The 19,891-nt window shown below is 40.9% G+C and overlaps 1 protein-coding gene across 5 annotated transcripts in view, besides 2 other annotated features; it reads left to right on the top strand.

Annotated features, from left to right (window-relative positions):
• Nucleotides 1-11,513, top strand: part of ANK3 (ankyrin 3) — a 707,231-nt gene extending 695,718 nt beyond the window's left edge. For all 5 annotated transcript variants that reach the window (NM_001204403.2, NM_001204404.2, NM_001320874.2 and 2 more), the window contains one exon: nt 7,985-11,513. The gene's annotated coding sequence lies outside the window, so the exon portion shown is untranslated. The remainder of the gene's footprint in view (nt 1-7,984) is intronic.
• Nucleotides 6,074-6,183: an enhancer, noted in NCBI's record as "active region_3392". NCBI's record gives its function as "activates an Ori minimal core promoter by ATAC-STARR-seq in GM12878 lymphoblastoid cells {active_cell/tissue: GM12878}" and the evidence as "EXISTENCE:reporter gene assay evidence [ECO:0000049][PMID:35858748]".
• Nucleotides 8,810-9,311: an enhancer, noted in NCBI's record as "NANOG hESC enhancer chr10:61788258-61788759 (GRCh37/hg19 assembly coordinates)". NCBI's record gives its function as "activates a minimal SCP1, AML or CMV promoter by ChIP-STARR-seq in primed H9 embryonic stem cells {active_cell/tissue: H9 hESC(primed)}" and the evidence as "EXISTENCE:reporter gene assay evidence [ECO:0000049][PMID:30033119]".

Raw genomic sequence — 19,891 nt, 5'->3', positions numbered from 1 at the left:
TGGGTGTATAAACCAAAGGAATATAAATTGTTCTATCACAAAGGCACTTGCACATGTATGTTCACTGCAGCACTATTCACAATAGCAAAGAATGGAATCAACCTAAATGCCCATCAATGGTAGACTGGATAAAGAAAATGTACACACACATACACCATGGAATACTATGCAGGTATAAAAAAAAGAGTGAGAGCATGTCCTTTGCAGGAACGGAACATAGATAGAGACCATTATCCTTAGCAAACTAACATAGGAACAGAAAACCAAATACCATATGTTCTCATTTAGTGGAAGCTAAATGATGAGAACACATGGACACAAAAAGGGAAAAAACAGACACTGGGATCTACTTGAGGGTGAGAGGGGAGAGGAGAGGAAAAAGTAACTATTGGGTACTAGGCTTAGTACCTGGGTGGCAAAATAATGTGTAACAAACCTGCACATGTACCCTTGAACTTAATAAAATAATTGTTTGTGTGCATGTTTAGAGGAATTCGAAGCCTCTGAAGGATTTTAAGCAAGGACCTAACTTGGTCTTTTTTCCCTCTTTAAAAAAAACACAAGAGCACGGACTATCTAGAGAATGGATAGGGGGACAAGAATAAAATGAAGGTAACCAGTTAGGAACTTATTGCTTCAGTTCAACTAAGCCATAATGGTGGCTTCAGCTGGGAAGATTGACAGCACTTGATAGATTAGCATGGTGGGTAGAGTGGAGAAGAATCATTGAGTCAAAAATGACTCCTAGATTTCTGGCATAAGCAACTGGATGATAGAGAAAGAAGCAGAAGTGGAAGAGGAATGAGTTTTAAGAAGAATGACAGGCATTCAGGCTTGGACTTGGGTTTGAAATGCTATGAGACATCCAAGTATTTATGTTACATATGCAAGTCCGAAGCTCTGAGGAAAAGTTGGGGCTGTGCATATAAAAATGTGGGAATCATCACAAAAGAAATGGGTATTGAATACCAGTGAACAGATGTGATTACCTAGGGAGAAAACTGAAGTAAGCCAAGAAGGGGCTCAAAAGTTGAGTCCTCAAAAGCAACATTTCAGAGTTTAAAAAAATTTCCTCAGCCAGATGCAGTGGCTCACGCCTGTATTCCCAGCACTTTAGGAGGCCGAGGCAGGCAGATCACGAAGTCAGGAGATGTAGACCATCCTGGCTAACACGGTGAAACCCTGTCTCTAGTAAAAATACAAAAAGACTAGCCAGGTGTGGTGGCGGGCACCTGTAGTCCCAGGTACTTGGGAGGCTGAGGCAGGAGAATGGCGTGAACCTGGGAGGTGGAGCTTTCAGTGAGCCTAGATCTTGCCACTGCACTCCAGCCTGGGCGACAGAGCAAGACTCCGTCTCAAAAAAAAAAAAAAAAAAAAAAAAAAAAAAATTGCCTCTGACCTCTCTCTTCCGCAGAGCTCCAACCATGACCCTCCTTAGTAAGCACTCAATAAGCGTCAGCTATTGCTACTAGTATTAAAAAAACCAAGAATAGAACCTTGAAGAGCTTTGGATTACAGAGGCTGGTGGACTAAGCAGCAGCAGCCAGTGATGGCTAGAATATAACAGTGGGAGAAGTGAGAACAGCAGTGTCTGAAATCCTCTGCATGTGATGGTGGTTTACACTTCAGAAAAGTTTCCACTATTTCACATCACTTGTTTTTCACAGTAGCCCTAGGAAGTTAGTACAACAGGTATCCTTATTCCTCTTTACTAAGCAATGAACAGTGACAAAGAGAGAGCAAAATCTCTAAGGCTGAGTGCAGTTAATGACAGGTCTGGATTTCCTGATTCTGATTCTCAGAAGTCAGAGCTATGGGCTGAATTGCTTCACTACAAATTCAGGACCCTGCCCTCCAGAATATTTTACCGGAATTCATATAGAGTAAATATGTTTTTATATTATGTATTTTTTATTTTTCTTAAAAATATATAATATTTTTTATTTTAAGAAATAAAATTAGCCCAGCTAATTTTGTATTTTTAGTAGCGATGGGGTTTCTCCATGTTGGTCAGGCTGGTCTCAAACTCCCGACCTCAGGTAATCTGCCTGCCTCAGCATCCCAAAGTGCTGGGATTATAGGTGTGAGCCACCGCACCCCGCCTTTTTTTTCTTACCCTTAAAAAATTCCTGTTAACAAAAGCCTTGGCTTCAAGATAAGAGCTAGAGGCAGGTGGCTTGATTTCCAGTTCTGGCTCCACTATATATTAGCTGTGTAACCTTGAGCTCACTATTTAAAAGCTTTGTGGCTCTCTTTTTGGCCGGGCGCAGTGGCTCACACCTGTAATCCCAGCACTTCGGGAGGCCAAGGCAGGTGGATCACCTGAGGTCAGAAGTTAGAGACCAGCCTGGCCAACATGGTGAAACCCCACCCATTTCTACTAAAAAGATAAAAATTAGCCAGGCATGGTGGCACATGCCTGTGGTCCCAGCTACTCAGGAGGCTGAGGCAGGAGAATCGCTTGAACCTAGGAGGCAGAGGTTGCAGCAAGCCAAGATCGTACCACTGTACTCCAGCCTGGGCGACAGAGCAAGACTCCATCTGGAAAGAACTAAATTAATTAAAAAATAAATAAGAAAATAGAGCCACAAAGCTTTTATTTATCTACAAAATGGAAAAAATAATAGTACCTCAGGGTTATTCGGATTAAATTAGCTAATCCACTTTAGAACAGTTTAGAATAAATATCTTTACCTAATAAAAATAATAACAGTAATAAAATTTTATTACTGTTAGGTTTTTCTTTCACTGCTAAAACACGAATGAACAGTTTTCCAGTATTTTTTTCCAGCCCTTTGACTTAAGATACTTTTTAATCACAAGTGAACAGAAAAGAACAATCAAAAAAGCCCTACTTATTGGTATTAGTGAAGAAACAAAGCTACCTGAATTGGGAATTACTTTAAAACTGCACTGTAGTGTATTTTAGTTACATAAAGTAATTAAAATTAATGTTTAGAAAAAAGTCTTAGTCCATGATTTCTGTAACTACAGAGAAGGAAAAAGAGAAAAGAAGGGAAAGAGAGAGGTGGGTAGGGAGAGAAACAAAGAACTAGAGTAAAGACCTCTTTGTCCTCAGTGGGCTCAGGCTTTCCTTAAGCCATGACACAGCTAAGTCTTAAAGATGAGTAAGAGTTGAACTACAAAGGTGGATTTCATTAGGGAAAGAAATCTGAACTTTCAAGGAGGTGGCATTTGAAACAAATTTGAAGGGTAGAAGAGGAATTAGCCACAGATGATAATCAGAGAAGGCAAGTATAGGTGGATACAAAATCATGAGCAAAGACAATGAAGTTGGAAAACAATTTGTAGTTGATACCTGGCATGTAATCTAGATCCTCAAAGTGAAGTCTGTGGACCACAGTATCAGCATGCCTAAAAGTCTGTTAGAAACACAGAATTTCAGGCTGGGCATGGTGACACGCCTGTAATCCCAGCACTTTGGGAGGTTGAGGCGGGCAGATCACCTGCGGTCAGGAGTTCAAGACCACCCTGGCCAGCGTGGTGAAACCCCATCTGTACCAAAAATGCAAAAAATTAGCCAGGCATGGTGGTGGGCGCCTTTAATCCCAGCTACTCAGGAAGCTGAGGCAGGGGAATCACTGGAGCCCGGGAGGTGGAGGTTGCAGTGAGCCAAGATCATGCCTTTGCATTCCAGCATGGGCGACAGAGCAAGACTCTGTCTCAAAAAAAAAAAAAAAAAACCAAAAAACAAAACAAAAAAAAAAACAAAAACAGAATTTCAGACACACTGACCTACTGAATCAGAATCTATACTCAAAGACTCCTGTGTAATGCAGATTAAACTTTGAGAAGCACTGTTCCAGAACATTTGACTGGCTCTCAAATTATCGAGTTTTAAAAAATTTTTGATGCTGGCCCCATCCCGAAAACTTCTATATAAACTGGTATGGGATGTGGCCTGGATATTGTTGTTGTTTTAATCTTCCCAGGTAAGTCTAATGTGCAACCAAGTTTGAGAACCACTGGAGATTGCAAAACAGCTTTTCAGTGAGGGACAGTGGGAATTAAGCCTAAAAAAGGTTCATTGGGCTGGACCAGAGAGCTTCAGATGCCAAACTAAAGATAGGAGACCCTTTTTAAAGCTAGGCATTAGGGTCTAAAATCCACAGGTATGTCCATTTGCCTATAAAAAACAAGTCAGTTCTGTACCAGAGCATGCTGCTGACTTGAAGATGTGATGTATGCAGTACATATTTAACTGTAAAGTATCAGCTGCCATGAAAATCCAATGAATTGCTGTTTCCAAGTTTTTTTTTTTTTTTTTTTTTTTTTGAGACTGAGTCTCGCTATGTTGTCCAGGCTGGAGTGTGATGGCCCGATTTCAGCTCACTGCAACCTCCGCCTCCTGGGTTCAAGCAATTCTCCTGCCTCAGCCTCCTGAGTAGTTGGGATTATAGGTGCCTGCCACCTCACCCGGCCAATTTTTGTATTTTTAGTAGAGGCTGGGTTTCACCATGTTGTCCAGGCTGGTCTTGAACTCCTGATCTCAGGTGATCCGCCCCCCTCCCCTGCCCCCGGCTTGGCCTCCCAAAGTGCTGGGATTACAGACGTGAGCCACCGTGCGTGGCCCTGTTTTCGTATATTTTAAAATGTTTCTTAAAAATACAGTGAAATGGCTAAAAGGAATGATTGGTTTTCTGATTTAGTTTCTCCCACCTTTAGGTTTGAAAGGCATACAAAACCCAAAGCAAGACAGATTCCTAAGTGCAACTGCATCTATCTCATATCCATTATCTAAACCAGAAAAGGGAGATGAGTCAAAATTCTATTTCTGAAATGTCATCTTGATGGCTTCTGCCCTCACACCTTCCCATCAGATGGCGCTGTCATCACAGTTTATACCAAGTGTCAATATTTTTATAGCAAGTACACAGTCACTTAGCCAAGGTTCTCATGCTTTTTATGCAACATTGTACTTGGTGTAAAGTCTTTTGTCCAATGAATGACCTTCCTGTACCCAGTGTGGTTGGGGCCAACAGGCTCTGATTGCATAACCAAGAAAAGAAAAAGTTATAAGAGGAACTAACTCCCACTTAAAAAAAATCACCCAAAACATCCTCACTGGAATATAAGTGGGCATAATTCACAGCATTTTTTTAAATGATAGAAACATATCCAATATATCCAGAAAGATAACATTTGCTTGGATTGAGGTGAGAAGAGAAAGGCCTTGCTACTCATTACGAAATTAACCTGGGAAGTTGGATTGGTTTTTAGGAGACATGGAGAAAAGTAGTGATGATCACACATCTACATAAATATTAAAAATTATCAAGCCAGGCCAGGCGCAGTGGCTCATGTCTATAATCCCAGCACTTTGGGAGGCCGAGGCAGGTGGATCACTTGAGGTCAGGAGTACAAGACTAGCCTGGCCAACATGGTGAAACTCCATCTCTACTAAAAATACAAAAAATTAGCCAGACTTGGTGGCACACACCTATAATCCCAGCTACTCGGGAGACTGAGACAGGAGAATTGCTTGAACCCGGGAGGCGGAGGTTGCAGTTAGCCGTGATCATGCCATTCCATTCCATTCCAGCCTGGGCGACAGAGTGAGACTTCGTCTCAAAAAAAAAAAAAAAAAAAAAAAAAGAAGCTGTGTATTTATAATAGCTGAAGTATGATATACAAATTATATATCAAGCTTCAAAAAGTCAGGGGGAGGGGTTTAGAGAAAGCAGGGAGTGAGACTGTAGTAACATTATCATAGGACCATCTAAGAAGCCTGGTGCCTACAAGATTAGGATTAAATGATAAAAACAGGTGAGAAAATCCTGATCATCATCTTCTGATTTGCCCACCCTCTGCAAGATGATCTACCCAAGTGAGTCACTTTCCTTCTTTGGAACCTCAGCAGAGTCACAGGGGAGGGGTGTTGAAATCACATAGGAGGAATTGATACTTTCATGTTCTTGGCTCCAAGCATTAGTGACCTGGGGCATGGAGGTCAGTAGCACTTTTAATACTAAAAAGGAAGCCAGGTCCTGTAGGGGGGCAGAGAGAGGAAGTGCTCTACCAACATGTTTCCATAAGCCAGGCTGTCCTAGGTGACCCATCTAAAGAGGAAGATACTTGTCTGAGGTAAGTAAACATCTTCAAGGTCACTGGAACTCCTGGGCCCCAAGAGAAGTCGAATTCTAAAGGTTGTCCTAGATCTGCAAATATAGTCTGTTGTTTATATGGGAGTGAGCAGGGTTATTCTTAAAATTGTTCTTGCCTTACTCAGGATTTCTATAGGAGCTGTATCTTGTTCTCAGGCAGGTAGGCATGCAAGTTTGTCAGCTTTTCACACTAAACAAGGAGGAGAGACAATATATGGGAAGAACTTTGTTTTATGGAAAAGGCAAATTCATACCACAATAGCACACAAAAGTATGAAAACCTCTGCCAAAGAATGATTTATTTTGACACAGTAAGACTGGTTATAAAACACAGATGCTTTATGCAGGAATCTTCCAGCAAGACAAGACATTCTCAGTGGAGCCTCCACTAAAAAGCTCAAATACAATTAATTCATCCCATTATGACTGACATGGACAGGAAAAGCGAAAGTTCTTTGCAGTGGTAGAAGTTTGTCTCTAATTTTAATTTGGTTATGGAAAAGAAATTTCATTGTAATGAAGTAATGACGCTTTTCTTCCTTTTGAAAGATTAGTTGAATTTTTGGAGAAGTGAGAGACTTACTTACAAAGCATTCAGAAATAGCTGAGATGCTCTATCCTGACTCCTTATCTCTGGCCCTTTCTGCTCATGGAAGTCCCAAACTTCTTACATTTTGATATTTAGGGAAGTCTCAGAGATTACCTCTCTCAGCCACCTCATTTCACAGATAAGACTAAGGCCCAAAGGGCTACAAATGGCTTCCCCAAGCAGCTGAATAACCTGAGCTTCAGACAGAACTAGAAGAGGGTCTTCCCAACACAGTCTAAAACTGTCACCAAACCAAACTGGGTGTTTGCCCGTGCACAATGGACAGTCGAACACCAAACACCAAAGCACCAGGTTTTTGCAGGAGAAAGGTGTATTGCCACTTGACTGACAAGGAGACAGGAGGAACCACTCAAATCTGTCTCTCCAAGCTGGGGGCTGGGTCATGTTTCAGAAGCATAGGGTAATGAGGCATGATCTGACTGGATCCTGCAATGGGGTGACGCCAAGGCTCTATCTGACTGGATCCTGCCATGAGACATAAGCTTCTTAATTAGCTCCCCAGCCTGAGAACTTAGGTTCCTCCTATGGTTGCATATTTAGTTCATCTGGGCATGCTCACATTATGTGACCTTCATCCTGGGGGTGTCCATGGCAACTCAAAAACAACTCACAACTTTGTTACATAAAAGTTGAGGGCCGGGCGTGGTGGCTCATGCCTGTAATCCCAGCACTTTGGGAGGCCAAGGTGGGCGGCTCACGAGGTCAGGAGATCGAGACCATCCTGACTAACATAGTGAAACCCCGTCTCTACTAAAAATACAAAAAATTAGCCAGGCGTGGTGGTGGGCACCTGTAGTCCCAGCTACTCGGGAGGCTGAGGCAGGAGAATGGTGTGAACCCAGGAGGCAGAGCTTGCAGTGAGCCAATTTCGGGCCACTGCACTCCAGCCTGGGCAACAGAGCAAGACTCCGTCTCAAAAAAGAAAAAAAGTTGAACCAGGTGGTCTGGTGCAATTACAAAACACAGATACAATAATAAGCAAGGCTCTCTGGAGGTCACCTAGAAAAGCTCACTGCCTTCTAAGAGCTTTCCAGTACACCTTAGGGCCTTGTCCTCTAAGGCATCTAGCAGGTAGCAGCATCATGTTAAACCACCCCATAGGGAATGGAGGGCCTCTATTCCCTAAGACTTTTCTATTGAATGGCAAGTAAGGCTTACACTAGTTGTCTTAAAAAAAAAAAAAAAAAAAAAAAAAAAAAAGAAAAAGAAAAAGAAAGCTAAACTCACTATCTACTGTCTCTTTCCACAGGATCATAAGTTTTTACTGCCAGTATTGAGAAATTCGTGGAAGAAATGTCAGCAGGAAGTAAAAATTCACCGAGAAGTGTGTGTGTGTTCGCTGCTTCCACACATTAATGGCATGATTTTTTTTATGCAAAAAGAAAAGAAAAGAAAACCACCCACATTTTAATTTAGCATGAGCCAATTTACAGAGCATGGAAATCACTTTCATTTCCGGATTGGCGCGTGTGCAATTAGCAATGCAGTGTATATACAAGAAGCCATGCTGTTAACAGTTTATCTCAAGTAATTTGGTGTCATTTACAAAAGGAAGAAATTCCTGCCATCAGAAGGGACAGAAGGAGATGGAATGATCAAATCACAGAGAAACACTAAAATTACTAAATCTACAACAGCTCGCCTTATTTTTCTTGGACCCAAACTGTCAGGGTATAAACACTATTTGTTTCTTTTTTAAAACATCGATAGTTTTGCTGTAAATAATAACACTGTATAAATTCTAACAGAAAAATAGAATAAAATGTTGATAAGGCACTGCCTCTTAGAACACAAACAGAATATTGCAAATGCATTTAACAAATAGGGGTCTCAAGTGACTTCACCCTAGAAGAGGAGGGAGGGATTCTGGGTGGGGGTGACTCTTCACTGATTCTTGTATATTAGCAATTATAATGTTTGTATATGCAAAACTGCTAGCTTGATTTTAAAAAAAAACAAATCTTTAAAATCTGCTGCAAATTTAAATAATTCCCAAAATGAGGAATTCTGTAGTTCTGTGAAAAATTTTTTTCTTCAGAATACTAATATTTTGATGCATGTGTATCACCTTATTTTGATTAAATCTTTTCCAATTTTGCAAACACTACAGTATACTGCAACACAAAAGATTTTATCTGTAAACACAAAGCCCTTCATCTAATATTTGTTGCTATTGCCAATTTTTCAATGAAATGACCTAAAAACAACAAAAAAAAATAACCTATACGGTAGTTGCTTTAGGGGGTGGGGGGATGCTATCTGTTAGTGCTTAAAAGGGGGTAAATGCTTGCCGCTTTAGAGGTGGATGGTGCTCATAAAAGGCCCCAGTCGGGGGTATTTAAAAAGGACTGAACAGAAATCCTTAGCTAGTAGAATGGCAGCACGCTGTAAAATTATTACTGTATTGTGTACTGGCTATAAGATGTAGACACCTTTCAGTAAGCCAATCATTTGTAACCATTCTAGCAGTGTCATATTAGGTTAATAAGGCTGCTGTGTTTTAAAGGGCATTTTTATTTGGGTTTTGGTGAAATTCTTTAATTTGTTGATTATATTCACATAAAATCAGCATTCATTGACACATAGCTCTAATGACATATGTATGAAAAACCATACACTGGATGACCTAGTCGATTATTTAAGCATAAAATAAATTGTGTTAAACTCTTCACCTATCTGTGCTCTACAGTCTCCTTGTGTTTTCTGGCAAAAGGTAGTTGTCTAATCCCTTGTCATATGAGTCCTGGCCAATCCACCCCATTGGTCCTCTTTGTGCCTCTGTGGTCACTGAAGAGATAATCTCTAACATTCATATGTGCCCTGCAAGCTCCCAGCTTATAAATTCTGTGCATTTCATGGGGGAGCCAAGAATTAAAGATTAATTGACAAGTAAGCTTTGCCCACATCTGTTCAGGCCTTCTTGAAAAGTGAAGAATTGGAGATACTATAGCCAGCATGTCAAAAAGTTGACTGGCACTTCTAGGAACCATCAACATGCAGTTGCTTTTAGCCCACAGAGCTTGTTTTTGTTTTGTTTTATTAATTTACATTTATTGTCCATTCTTACAAGTTGGGACATTTCACATAATTAAGTTGCTAACATCTCTTAAAAAGCAAGATTTGGCAACAATGGACCTCATTCCCAGAAGGTAACAACCTGCTAGAGCCAAGTTGTCCCTGCCCTCTCCAGCCAGGTGTGGGGTCTACAGGTATCACTGCCACAGCCTCATTTCTTATATTTGTACAACCTGACTGTGAATTTGCAACCCATACACTGCGTGAATCTAAATTCTACTGAGGCAGAGACCATGGCTGTTTTAACTTTTATTCTAGTTACCAGCTTAGCATATGGTAGTAGTGATAGTAGTAACTGTGATCATCATCACTAAAACTGGAGTGCTCACTACATGCTATTCTCTGTTCTAAGCACATTCCATTTACTTACTTAGTCCTCATATCTACTTTATGAATTAGGTACTGTCTTTCTTTGATGGTAATGATCCTTTTATAAAATTAAATTAGTGCTAAGAGACTTTCAGCAATGTTATATATTGCCTGTCCATTAAAGATTGTTGCCAAATGGAGTGAGTTGTCCCCAGTAAGGATTCACTATCAATGCAGAAGAAATGCACGGATAATCTACTTTGCATAAAGAATGGGGCTAGGTTGCATCTGCATGGTATCCCAAATAAATAAAATGTGCCACTACCCTTGCACCAAAATTATTTTATGATGGGTAAAGTTAGACCCTTGAGAGGTTTTTTTTTTAAAAAAAAAAAAAAAAAAAAACTTTCCCAAAATGCCTCTCTGTAAAGCCAGGATCAGAATATAGGTGTCCTAACTTCCTATCTAAGAGTTACGAATTTCTGACTCAGTCTTTGAGAGAAGGTGTTTATCCTGAACCAGAAACTCAATGATGTATACCTGTTTAGGTATTAAATAGTTGTGTTTATATGCCCAAAAATTTGACTTTAGGTATATGTGATATGCTTTGGTTCCGATCAAGCAGGAGGTCATAAGTTTACTCAGAAGTATCCAAAATATGACATTCAAGATTTAACTTGCATATGTGTGTATATGCATATATTTATACATGTATATGTAGATTGAATGTGACATTATGTATTTCTAACATAATATTTGGCCTGCCAGCTTATAAATATGTATTTAAGCTTTTCATTGATTGACATTACTGTAAAAAATGAATTATGATTGAGAAGTTCTGGATATTTGCTGTTTTTTTCATTTTATATTCTTACTAAATTATTGAATTTGTTAAATTAAAATGTGCTATCACTGTATTGCCAAATTATGGCAATACACTATGCAGTATTATTTCAATACTTTAAGAGGCATCTATTACTTCATTGAACACATAAGCAGCTAGCCTCCTTTCCTCTGTAAATAAGGACTTTTTGGCATCCTGATGTTCCTCGCTGTTCATTTGGTATCATCCTGGAGTTCCATCAAGACTGAGGATTTTCTCCATGGCCAATAAACTATTGTCAGCATCAGCTCACGTTTGGCTGTATGACAGGGATATGTGAGAAGCCCAGAAATAAATCACAAAAATAATAAGGCATCTTCTGAGTCTCTCTGAAGAAGCCAGTGATCCAAAAACTAACTTCATATCTGAGTGAGTCTTGGTATTCTTGATTTGCTTGAAGAGGCTGTGACATATTACAAGGTGTGTAATTTCCCAGGCATATCACACTGCTTCTGTTTCATGAATTGATCAAATTGTCCAGAAGTAAACATTTACAAGATTGAGATTTGAACCAAACTTTTCAAGAGTTCTTTTAATAAGAGGTGGAAGGCAGTGGTGTAATTTCTTTACACGGTTACCTGGCTAAACATGTACCAATACAAAAATTAAATAATAGAGCGGATTCTGATAAGTATCCTTAGTAACAAGCCCAACAGCTTTCATTTCTTTAATAGAATGAAATGCAGATAGTTCAAAAATAGAGCAAAATGAAATTTACCATTATATCTGCTGCACTTATTCATTGTTAGCTACATATGATATGTACAAGTAGGTGAACATGAAGTGAAGAATTTTTACTCTTCAGCCCCTAGTGCTTCCTGAGTTAGGGAGTAAAACGCCCTGAGGGTTGCATTTCCAACTGGACATCCTGAGACTCCTCACCAATTCCAAAAGCTTTCCATAGCAAAGTTGAGATGAACATGCTCAGAGGATTCTAAGGCAGTGAGAAGAACCACCTTAGAATGCCACAGGAAGCACACCAGAGGCAATACCTATGAGGACTTTTTTTCTAGGACCACCATGGAACTCTGATGTCCCAAAAAACGTGATCTCCCTGCCTGATTTCCCCCAACATCCTCAATTACCGCTTCTCCTTTGTCATCTAATTCAACCATTGGCATAATTCTGAGAGCTGGGATAGAATGATGGCTTGCCAGCTTTTCAAAAATGTTCTGTCACATGACGTATGTCACCAGGTCTTCATACTAGACTGTACACTCCCTGGGGACAGGGACTTTGTTTTGTTCTATGCTATATCTATAGTACCTAGGATGGTGCTTGCCACCTTATGAGTGCTCAAGAAATAGTTGTTGAGTGCAAGAATGAATGAGTCAGCAAACATCAGAGGGCAAGGAGCAGTAAATAGGGAATGTTACTCTATACCATTTTCTTTACAGGCTCAACCAACTTGGAAATTGAAGGAAAGCACAGCTTTTGATTCTAATGACTTCATTCACCAAGGACTAACTTGTGTCACCAACCTCCACTGGTCCATTCCAGTTGCACAACCTCCTTCTTAGCCAAAGAGTCCTTAGTAATTGGGGTATGGATGTTCCAATACCTCATGAGCAAAGAGCACACAGTCATGCTGCTGAAGTGGCCATCCTTCCTGTGGCCACGGGCTATGGTGCTCATCCTAATCACTGACTGGCCACTGAGAAACCAGGCAAGAGTGTGGAGAACCCATCATGAACCTTCCTGTCTATAACAAAGTTAGTTTGGTTGCCTCCACCTTGGTGTTGCTGAGTAAATGTGTTTCACCATTCACCACAGCTCCTCTTCCTTTCCCTGTTTCCTCTAAAATCCAACTTACTTTATTCATTTCTATCCCACATCTCTGTTTAATATCATTAGAGGAAGGAAAAGAAGGCAAACGAATGCTATTCTGTTTAAAATCCTTCTTTCTGGCAAGCCAGATATCTACCTCATTTTCATCCCGTCTCTCTCAATGCCAGTAAGAGGAGGATGGAATAAAGGAGCATGTAACTGAGAAGACAAAGATGGATCATGTGGTTCTCCAAACCTATGCATCCCTCCAATCATTCTTCTCATTTCACAACATGTACTCAGTGCCTACCACCTTCCAGGTGCTCTCCCAGGCACAGGATACATCAGTTCCCTACCCACTCCCGTCAAAGTGAGGAGAATACCACCAGCCTCTGTGTGAAATCTAAATTAGGGCTCCTCAGGACAGGAAACTGTAGAATTACTTGTGGAAATAAAACTACCGCAGCACATCATAGGGAGTGCATGCTGAAGAACGTGAGAAGACATGTAGAATGGGGAGGAACAGCCCTGTGGCTGCTGAGTGTAACCAATGCACTTTCTCTTTTTTTGAGATGGAGTTTCACTCTTGTCACCCAGGCTGGAGTGCAATGGTGTGATCTCGGCTCACTGCAACCTCCGCCTCCTGGGTTCAAGCGATTTTCCTGCCTCAGCCTCCCAAGCAGATGAGATTACAGGCACTCGCCACCATGCCCGGCTAATTTTTTTTGTATTTTTAGTAGACACGGGGTTTCACCATGTAGGCCAGGCTGGTCTCGAACTCCTGACCTCGGGTGATCTGCCCGCCTCGGCCTCCCAAAGCATTGGGATTACAGGTGTGAGCCGCCCAGCCCCACTGCACTTCCATATTCTGCCTGCTAGTCAGAATTAAGTGGGACTCAAGGCCTGACAAAAATATTTCAATAGAAAACTTTAAAAACATTTTAAAGGTAGCTAACCAACTCTATAATACTGTATAAGCTCATTTGACTTCCAGAGATTCTGAATTTAGGTGAAACCAGTTGTAACTTTGAACTCATGCACGATGTTCTCCTTCCATATGTCAACTCCTACATAAATCAGACCACTTCACAGAGTCTGTCCCTGCCGATGCCAGTCCACACTGGCAACTGGTAAACTAAAGGAATACCTCACAATGTGGCACTCAACTCTACATCCTCTGGTAGTCCCCTTGCTCTCCAACAAGCCTTGTGCTTTCCACATTTCCATGAGCAGAGCTGGGTATACAGACGGTTTGTAATGTTGAGCTTCACATGCCTAATCATTTAACTGTTCTTTATGGTAAAGCCTTAGACTTCAGCTATGCTGCAATACACATCTGATAGCTCAGTCTGGGCGCACACCCCACCCACTGGAAGCCAGTGCTTAAGTGCAGTGAAGAGTGGAGCTAGAGCTATCACACAGCCTGGCTTTCTGACACTGCTATCATAGTGTGCCTTGCCCAGGTGGAGCCTGAAATAAGTAAAGAATATCTAGGGAAAAGCCTATGAAATATTAGCCTATTTAAGAACATGTGGCTCTAAAGAATAATAAAATAAAACAGATGTAGTGGTGACAGCTGTAGCATTGTAAGCTTTAGAGTAGCCCTCATGCTTCTGGCCATGATAACACTAGATTCTCAAGTTCCTTAGGCCAGAGTGGTCACACTGAAGTGTCTGTGGAGACTAGGCAGGTCATCTAAGCAAAGGGGTTGTTGTAGACTATTGTACATAAATAATAGCTGCCTCTCCCTGAGGGTGGATTACACTTCCCAGCCCCAATGCCTTCACCCTTGCCATGGAACTTGCTTTGGGCAATGAAATAACAGCAGATACTTCAGGAGATAGTGTATTTTTGTTAATGTACCCTTTCCTCACTCCAGTGATGCTCCAGAGAGACTGCTCCCTGCTCTGCTGCTGGGGTGAAGATGATGTGGAGCAGAACCACAGTCAACCCACCATAGATAAGCAATGTGAGCAAGAAATAAACCTTTCTAGTAAGCCAGAGATGTTTTAGTCATTTGTTACTGTGGCATAACCACTGCCCCAATTAATATACAAGTCAGGTATAAGACATTAAGGGCTGATGGGTATTGGGTAAGCAAATTCCTCTTCTAATGAGGCTGCCTTGTGGGAATATAAGCCCAGCTCTGCCAGATTTTGAAGTTTTCTAAATATTGGCAACTAATTTTTTTTCCCTAAGAATATTGTATGGGCCAAATGAAACATGCCTGTGGGTCACCGTTTTCAAGCTCTGCCACTAGCTCTTGGCATTTGCAAAATGGACACGTTCTTAGATCATGCTACACAAATTTATTAATGTATGATTTTTGATCACACCCTGTGAGACTAGTGTGCATAAGCAAATAACTCCTGAGTCGGATTCACAGACTACCCCTTATCCCCACCTCAATACAGCTTGGTTTTTCTCTATGCGCCATTTCAAACCCTGGAACTCTAAGGATCTCAAGGAGTCACTTAAGCTTTTTTACTCACATTTTATTGCCTTCTTAGTGAAGACTTCACCAGTCCATTTGGGCTTTGTATGGTTCCCTGCCTACCTGTATAACCACATCTCATGCCACCTTATCTCTTTCTCTCATTACACTTTAGACCAGTGATAAAGTGTAGCCCATGGACTGGGCTTAGTCTGAGAAGCCCTTGTTACCTGTCTGCAATGAGACAAGAAACCTGAGCCAGAATGTAAATTGACTGCATTACTAAGCATATTCCTTAGTTCAGCTGATCTAAAAAATACAGTATGTTAACTTATGTAATACATAGTGCTCCCCATATAGTCTTACGTTGTATTTATTTCAGAACATATCTTGGTTTTATGACTAGAATAAAGCTTTTTTGAGTCCATGGGTCTCAGCTCTTATTCCTTTTTATTCCTGATACATACATATGTCTAGAGCGGTGACTTGGACACAGTATAAACTAAATAAATACCACTTGAGCTGAATTTGATTTACAGCCATACCCACCATACATCCATGTCCCACTTTCATCCCCTCATGCAGATTCCAAGCTTCTCTTGAAAAATCAGAAGAGCTGACAAATCTAGGCCTGAATTCCTGCATTGCAGTATTTTGTTAGAGCTAACTAAGCACTGTTTTTGGTTGGAGCATGTGCTCTCAAGTTTTCTACAGTCTCTACTATTCTATCATGCCTTGCACAAGGCCCTGTGGCACTTGATTTTTGACCATTGTAAAGCCAAAAGAGTTTAGATTGCAGCTACCATTTTGCCCCACTAGGGTTAGAAGAGTTGCAGCCATTATAGAACGTAGCCACTCAGGCTGCCTGAACAGTTCTTTTCTGTTATTGTTTAACCAGGAAGATTTTCATTTCAGCCAGAAAGATGGCTCATTTTTCTAACACCAATTTAGCAGAGGCTGTGCGTACTTGGGTGATTCAAAGAGTCATCTAAAGATCTGATGCCATGACACATACCAGATGACTTTAACAACCTTCCCATCACATGTCCTTGGCACAAAATGGAAAAACACTATGATGACACCTGACAGTAACAGAAGTCTCATGAAATACTGTGGTGGGGGAGTTGTTATAAAGCTCTTCTCAGCAAGACTTCACTGGGGGTGGAAGCACAGCAACCCTCAAAGGCAAACTGAAGTTTTGATACCTTACAGTGAGTCACTGAAGATGTGAGTGGTTTTCCTTGACATTCACAGCATTCACAAGATACTGATCCAAAGCTATACTTATTTGTGCTTCCCTTCATCCCTCATTTATTTATTCAATAAATGTTTGCATGACTACTAGTGCCAGGCCTTGTGCTAAATGCTATGGATACAGCAATGAATAAGAAGGACAATAAACAAGTGTACAAATAAACAAGGTAATTATAGTGGCAGATGCTATGAAGGTAATAAAAATGGTGATGTGACGGAATAATTGGGGGGAATCAAGATACTCTAGAGAGGGTATGCAAAGAAGGCATAGAGAGCGTGACATTTGGAAGCTGAGATGGAGCTTCCCTGGCAGCCCTCTGCCAATAAGTACAAATGAGACAGGATGAGAAAAGAAGGCCCTTGACATTTTTTGAGAAACAGAAAGAAGAAGCTGGTGTGGCTAGAGCCGTGCTATGCAGAGCATCAACCAGTAACAAGATCAAGAACTTGTACCAGCCTGTAATTCTGTACCATTTTCTTCTCAAGAAAATATTACAACATATATTAGTATAAAGCACAAAACAGTAAGTGCCACATGTGTTGGCTGTTATGATTGTTAATAGTATTATTCCATTTTCATAATGATCTCAGGATTGGTTGACGAAGTGAACTGGAAATGGCCTAGCAGAGAGCCTTGCACATATTAGACACACAGTAAATACTAGTTTAATGAATGAATGCTTAGTGGAAGAGCAGCATTTGAGTTGGAACTTGAGAAGCAAGTATGACTTTAATATGTGAAGAAAGGAGGTCTAGGCAAAAGGAATAAGAGGCTAGAAGGCATAAAGCCATCCAAAGAAGTGTGAGCAAAATTTGTTTTGATCATAATTTGAGGAGAAAGGAGGAACAAAGATGGAAAAGAGTGACTTACCGTTAAGAGACATCACAAGAATTGTAGGCACGGCTTTCAGCAGCCATCTTCATCAATCATATCTTGTGTGCATTTGCTCGCATCAGCATGTTTGCAAAAAGTAGCTGCTCAATGACTGCAAGGCTCTATTACACACTGGGCTCGCCATGCAAGACTCTAAGGCTTGGGAACCTGAGTCCATATTTGAAAAGTGTTTCTGAGTTAAGTGGGAGATATACCTGGGCTTGAAAACCTATCTTTCTGGACATGTACCATAGGAATCCATCTTCACGTAACCTTAACAAAGCAATTTCTCATCCCTCTCCCAAGTAAGTGAAGCATAGTTTTCACCAAATGCATTTTCTAAAGCCAGTTGAATAAGAATAAAGAAGCCATTGGATGAGTGTGTCATTTGCATGATTTAAAAGCTAATCAAGATCAACTGCAGAACAAGAAACAACTACTTATGAAATCCTAATTGTTGACTGACTGACATGAGGCAACATGAGCAAACTAAGGCCCAGAGAAGTTAAATGACTCTTTCAAGGTCTCACAGACAGCTTGTGGTAGAATCAAGACTAGAATTCACATATTGCACCACACCCTACTGCCTCCCACTTGGTTTATGGATGAACCTAAAGAGTCATGTATAGGGGATGGTGCAAAAAGGTATCTCGCTCCAGCTGGATTCACCTGAGGTCTTTGTGACTGCAAATCAAAATGTTATGAGGACTCGTTGGCCCTTATCTTTTATTTAAGAGGAATTTTTAAAGTGTATTTTAACTGACAAATAATTGTACGCATTCATAGGGTACAGAGCAATGTTTTCATACATATAATGTAGTGATCGATTAGTGTCGTTATCATATACATCATCTCAAATATTTGTCATTTTTTGGTGTTGTGAAAGTTTAATATCCTCCTATTTGAAACTATATATTATTGTTAACTATAGTCACCCTACGGTGGTATAGAACACTAGAACTTATTTCTCATTTCTCCTCTAGCTGCAATTTTGTATCCTTTAAACATTCAGCCTGTTGAGCATCTTCTCTCTTCCTTTGTCTTCCCTCAGAGTCCTCTTGCTGGGTCTCCTGCTACTTCTCTAGGTGCTCCTGATTAGTTGGTCCCAACGAGATCCTCTTCTCCTACCCATCCTTTTACCATTGGGATAGACCAAAACTCTGAGTGATCTTATCCATTCCCAAAACTTTAGTAAATATTAATGTGCTGACAATTCCTAGTCTTTATCTCCCCCCACCATATCTCTGCCCTAAGCTCCAGAACTCATGTATCAGCAGCCTTCAAGGTCTCTCCACTCAGATACCCCACAGGCTCTTCAAACTCCTCATATCCAGAAATGAATACATGCCCATCCCCTCAAAAGAAGTCAGCTCAGATACTCTTCTCTGTGAATGGCATCACCATCCATCTCTTGCCCAGGTCAGACACTTGAGAAACACTCAGGTAATCCCCCTGCTACTCCATCCAGTTCAAAAACATGTCCATCATATCTCCTAGTCTCTTCAATTGTCGCCATTCATACAGCCCTACCTTAGGTCCTAAGTTCTCATCTGAGTAACTGCAATAACCTCCTAACTGGTATTTCTACCTCTGACAATTGAATATAGCTTTTTTTTTTTTTTTTTTTTTTGAGACGGAGTCTCGCTCTGTCACCCAGGCTGGAGTGCAGTGGCACAATCTCGGCTTGCTGCAACCTCTGCCTCCCAGGTTCATGCAATTCTCCCTGCCTTAGCCTCCTGAGTAGCTAGGATTATAGGCGCCCACCACAATGCCCAGCTAATTTTTGTATTTTTTTAGGAGAGATGGGGTTTCACCATGTTGCCCAGGCTGGTCTTGAACTCCTGATCTCAAGTGATCCACCTGCCTTGGCCTCCCAAAGTGCTGGGATTGGCTGGGTGTGGTGGCTCACGCCTGTAATCCCAGCACTTTGGGAGGCTGAGGTGGGTGGATCACAAGGTCAGGAGTTCAAGACTAGCCTGGCCAATATGGTGAAACTCCATAATTTCGTATTTGTAAAAATACAAACATTGGCCAGGCGTGGTGATGCATGCCTATAGTCCCAGCTACTGGGGAGGCTGAGGCAGAAGAATCACTTGAACCCAGGAGGCAGAGGTTGCAGTGAGCCAAGATCATGCCACTGCACTCCAGCCTAGGCGACAGAGCGAGACTCTGTCTCAAAAAAAAAAAAAAAAAAAAAGTGCTGGGATTGCAGGTGTGAGCCACCGTGCTTGGTCATGAGCATATATTTCTTTTAAAACCTCTAATCATATTACTTCTGAAGAATGAACTCCTTTGAATATCATATAAAACTTAGCGGTAAGACCTTTGACATGTCACTTAATTTCTCTGAGCCTCAGTTTCCTCATCCATGTAATAGGTCAATAATCCATACTTCACTGGATTATACAGAGAATTAGACTGAATGATGCAGGTTAAATGATTGGCAAAGTTCCTGACACAAAGGAAGCATTCAGTAGATTGCAGCTACTGGGGTTTATTACTAACTGTAGGCCCTCAATTATCTTTCATTCTTTATGTGGCTCACACTGGTCCTTTAAAA

This window comes from Homo sapiens, chromosome 10 (genome assembly GCF_000001405.40).
Source record: "Homo sapiens chromosome 10, GRCh38.p14 Primary Assembly".
Lineage (NCBI taxonomy): Eukaryota > Metazoa > Chordata > Mammalia > Primates > Hominidae > Homo > Homo sapiens.
This window is presented reverse-complemented; position numbering and strand designations above follow the sequence as displayed.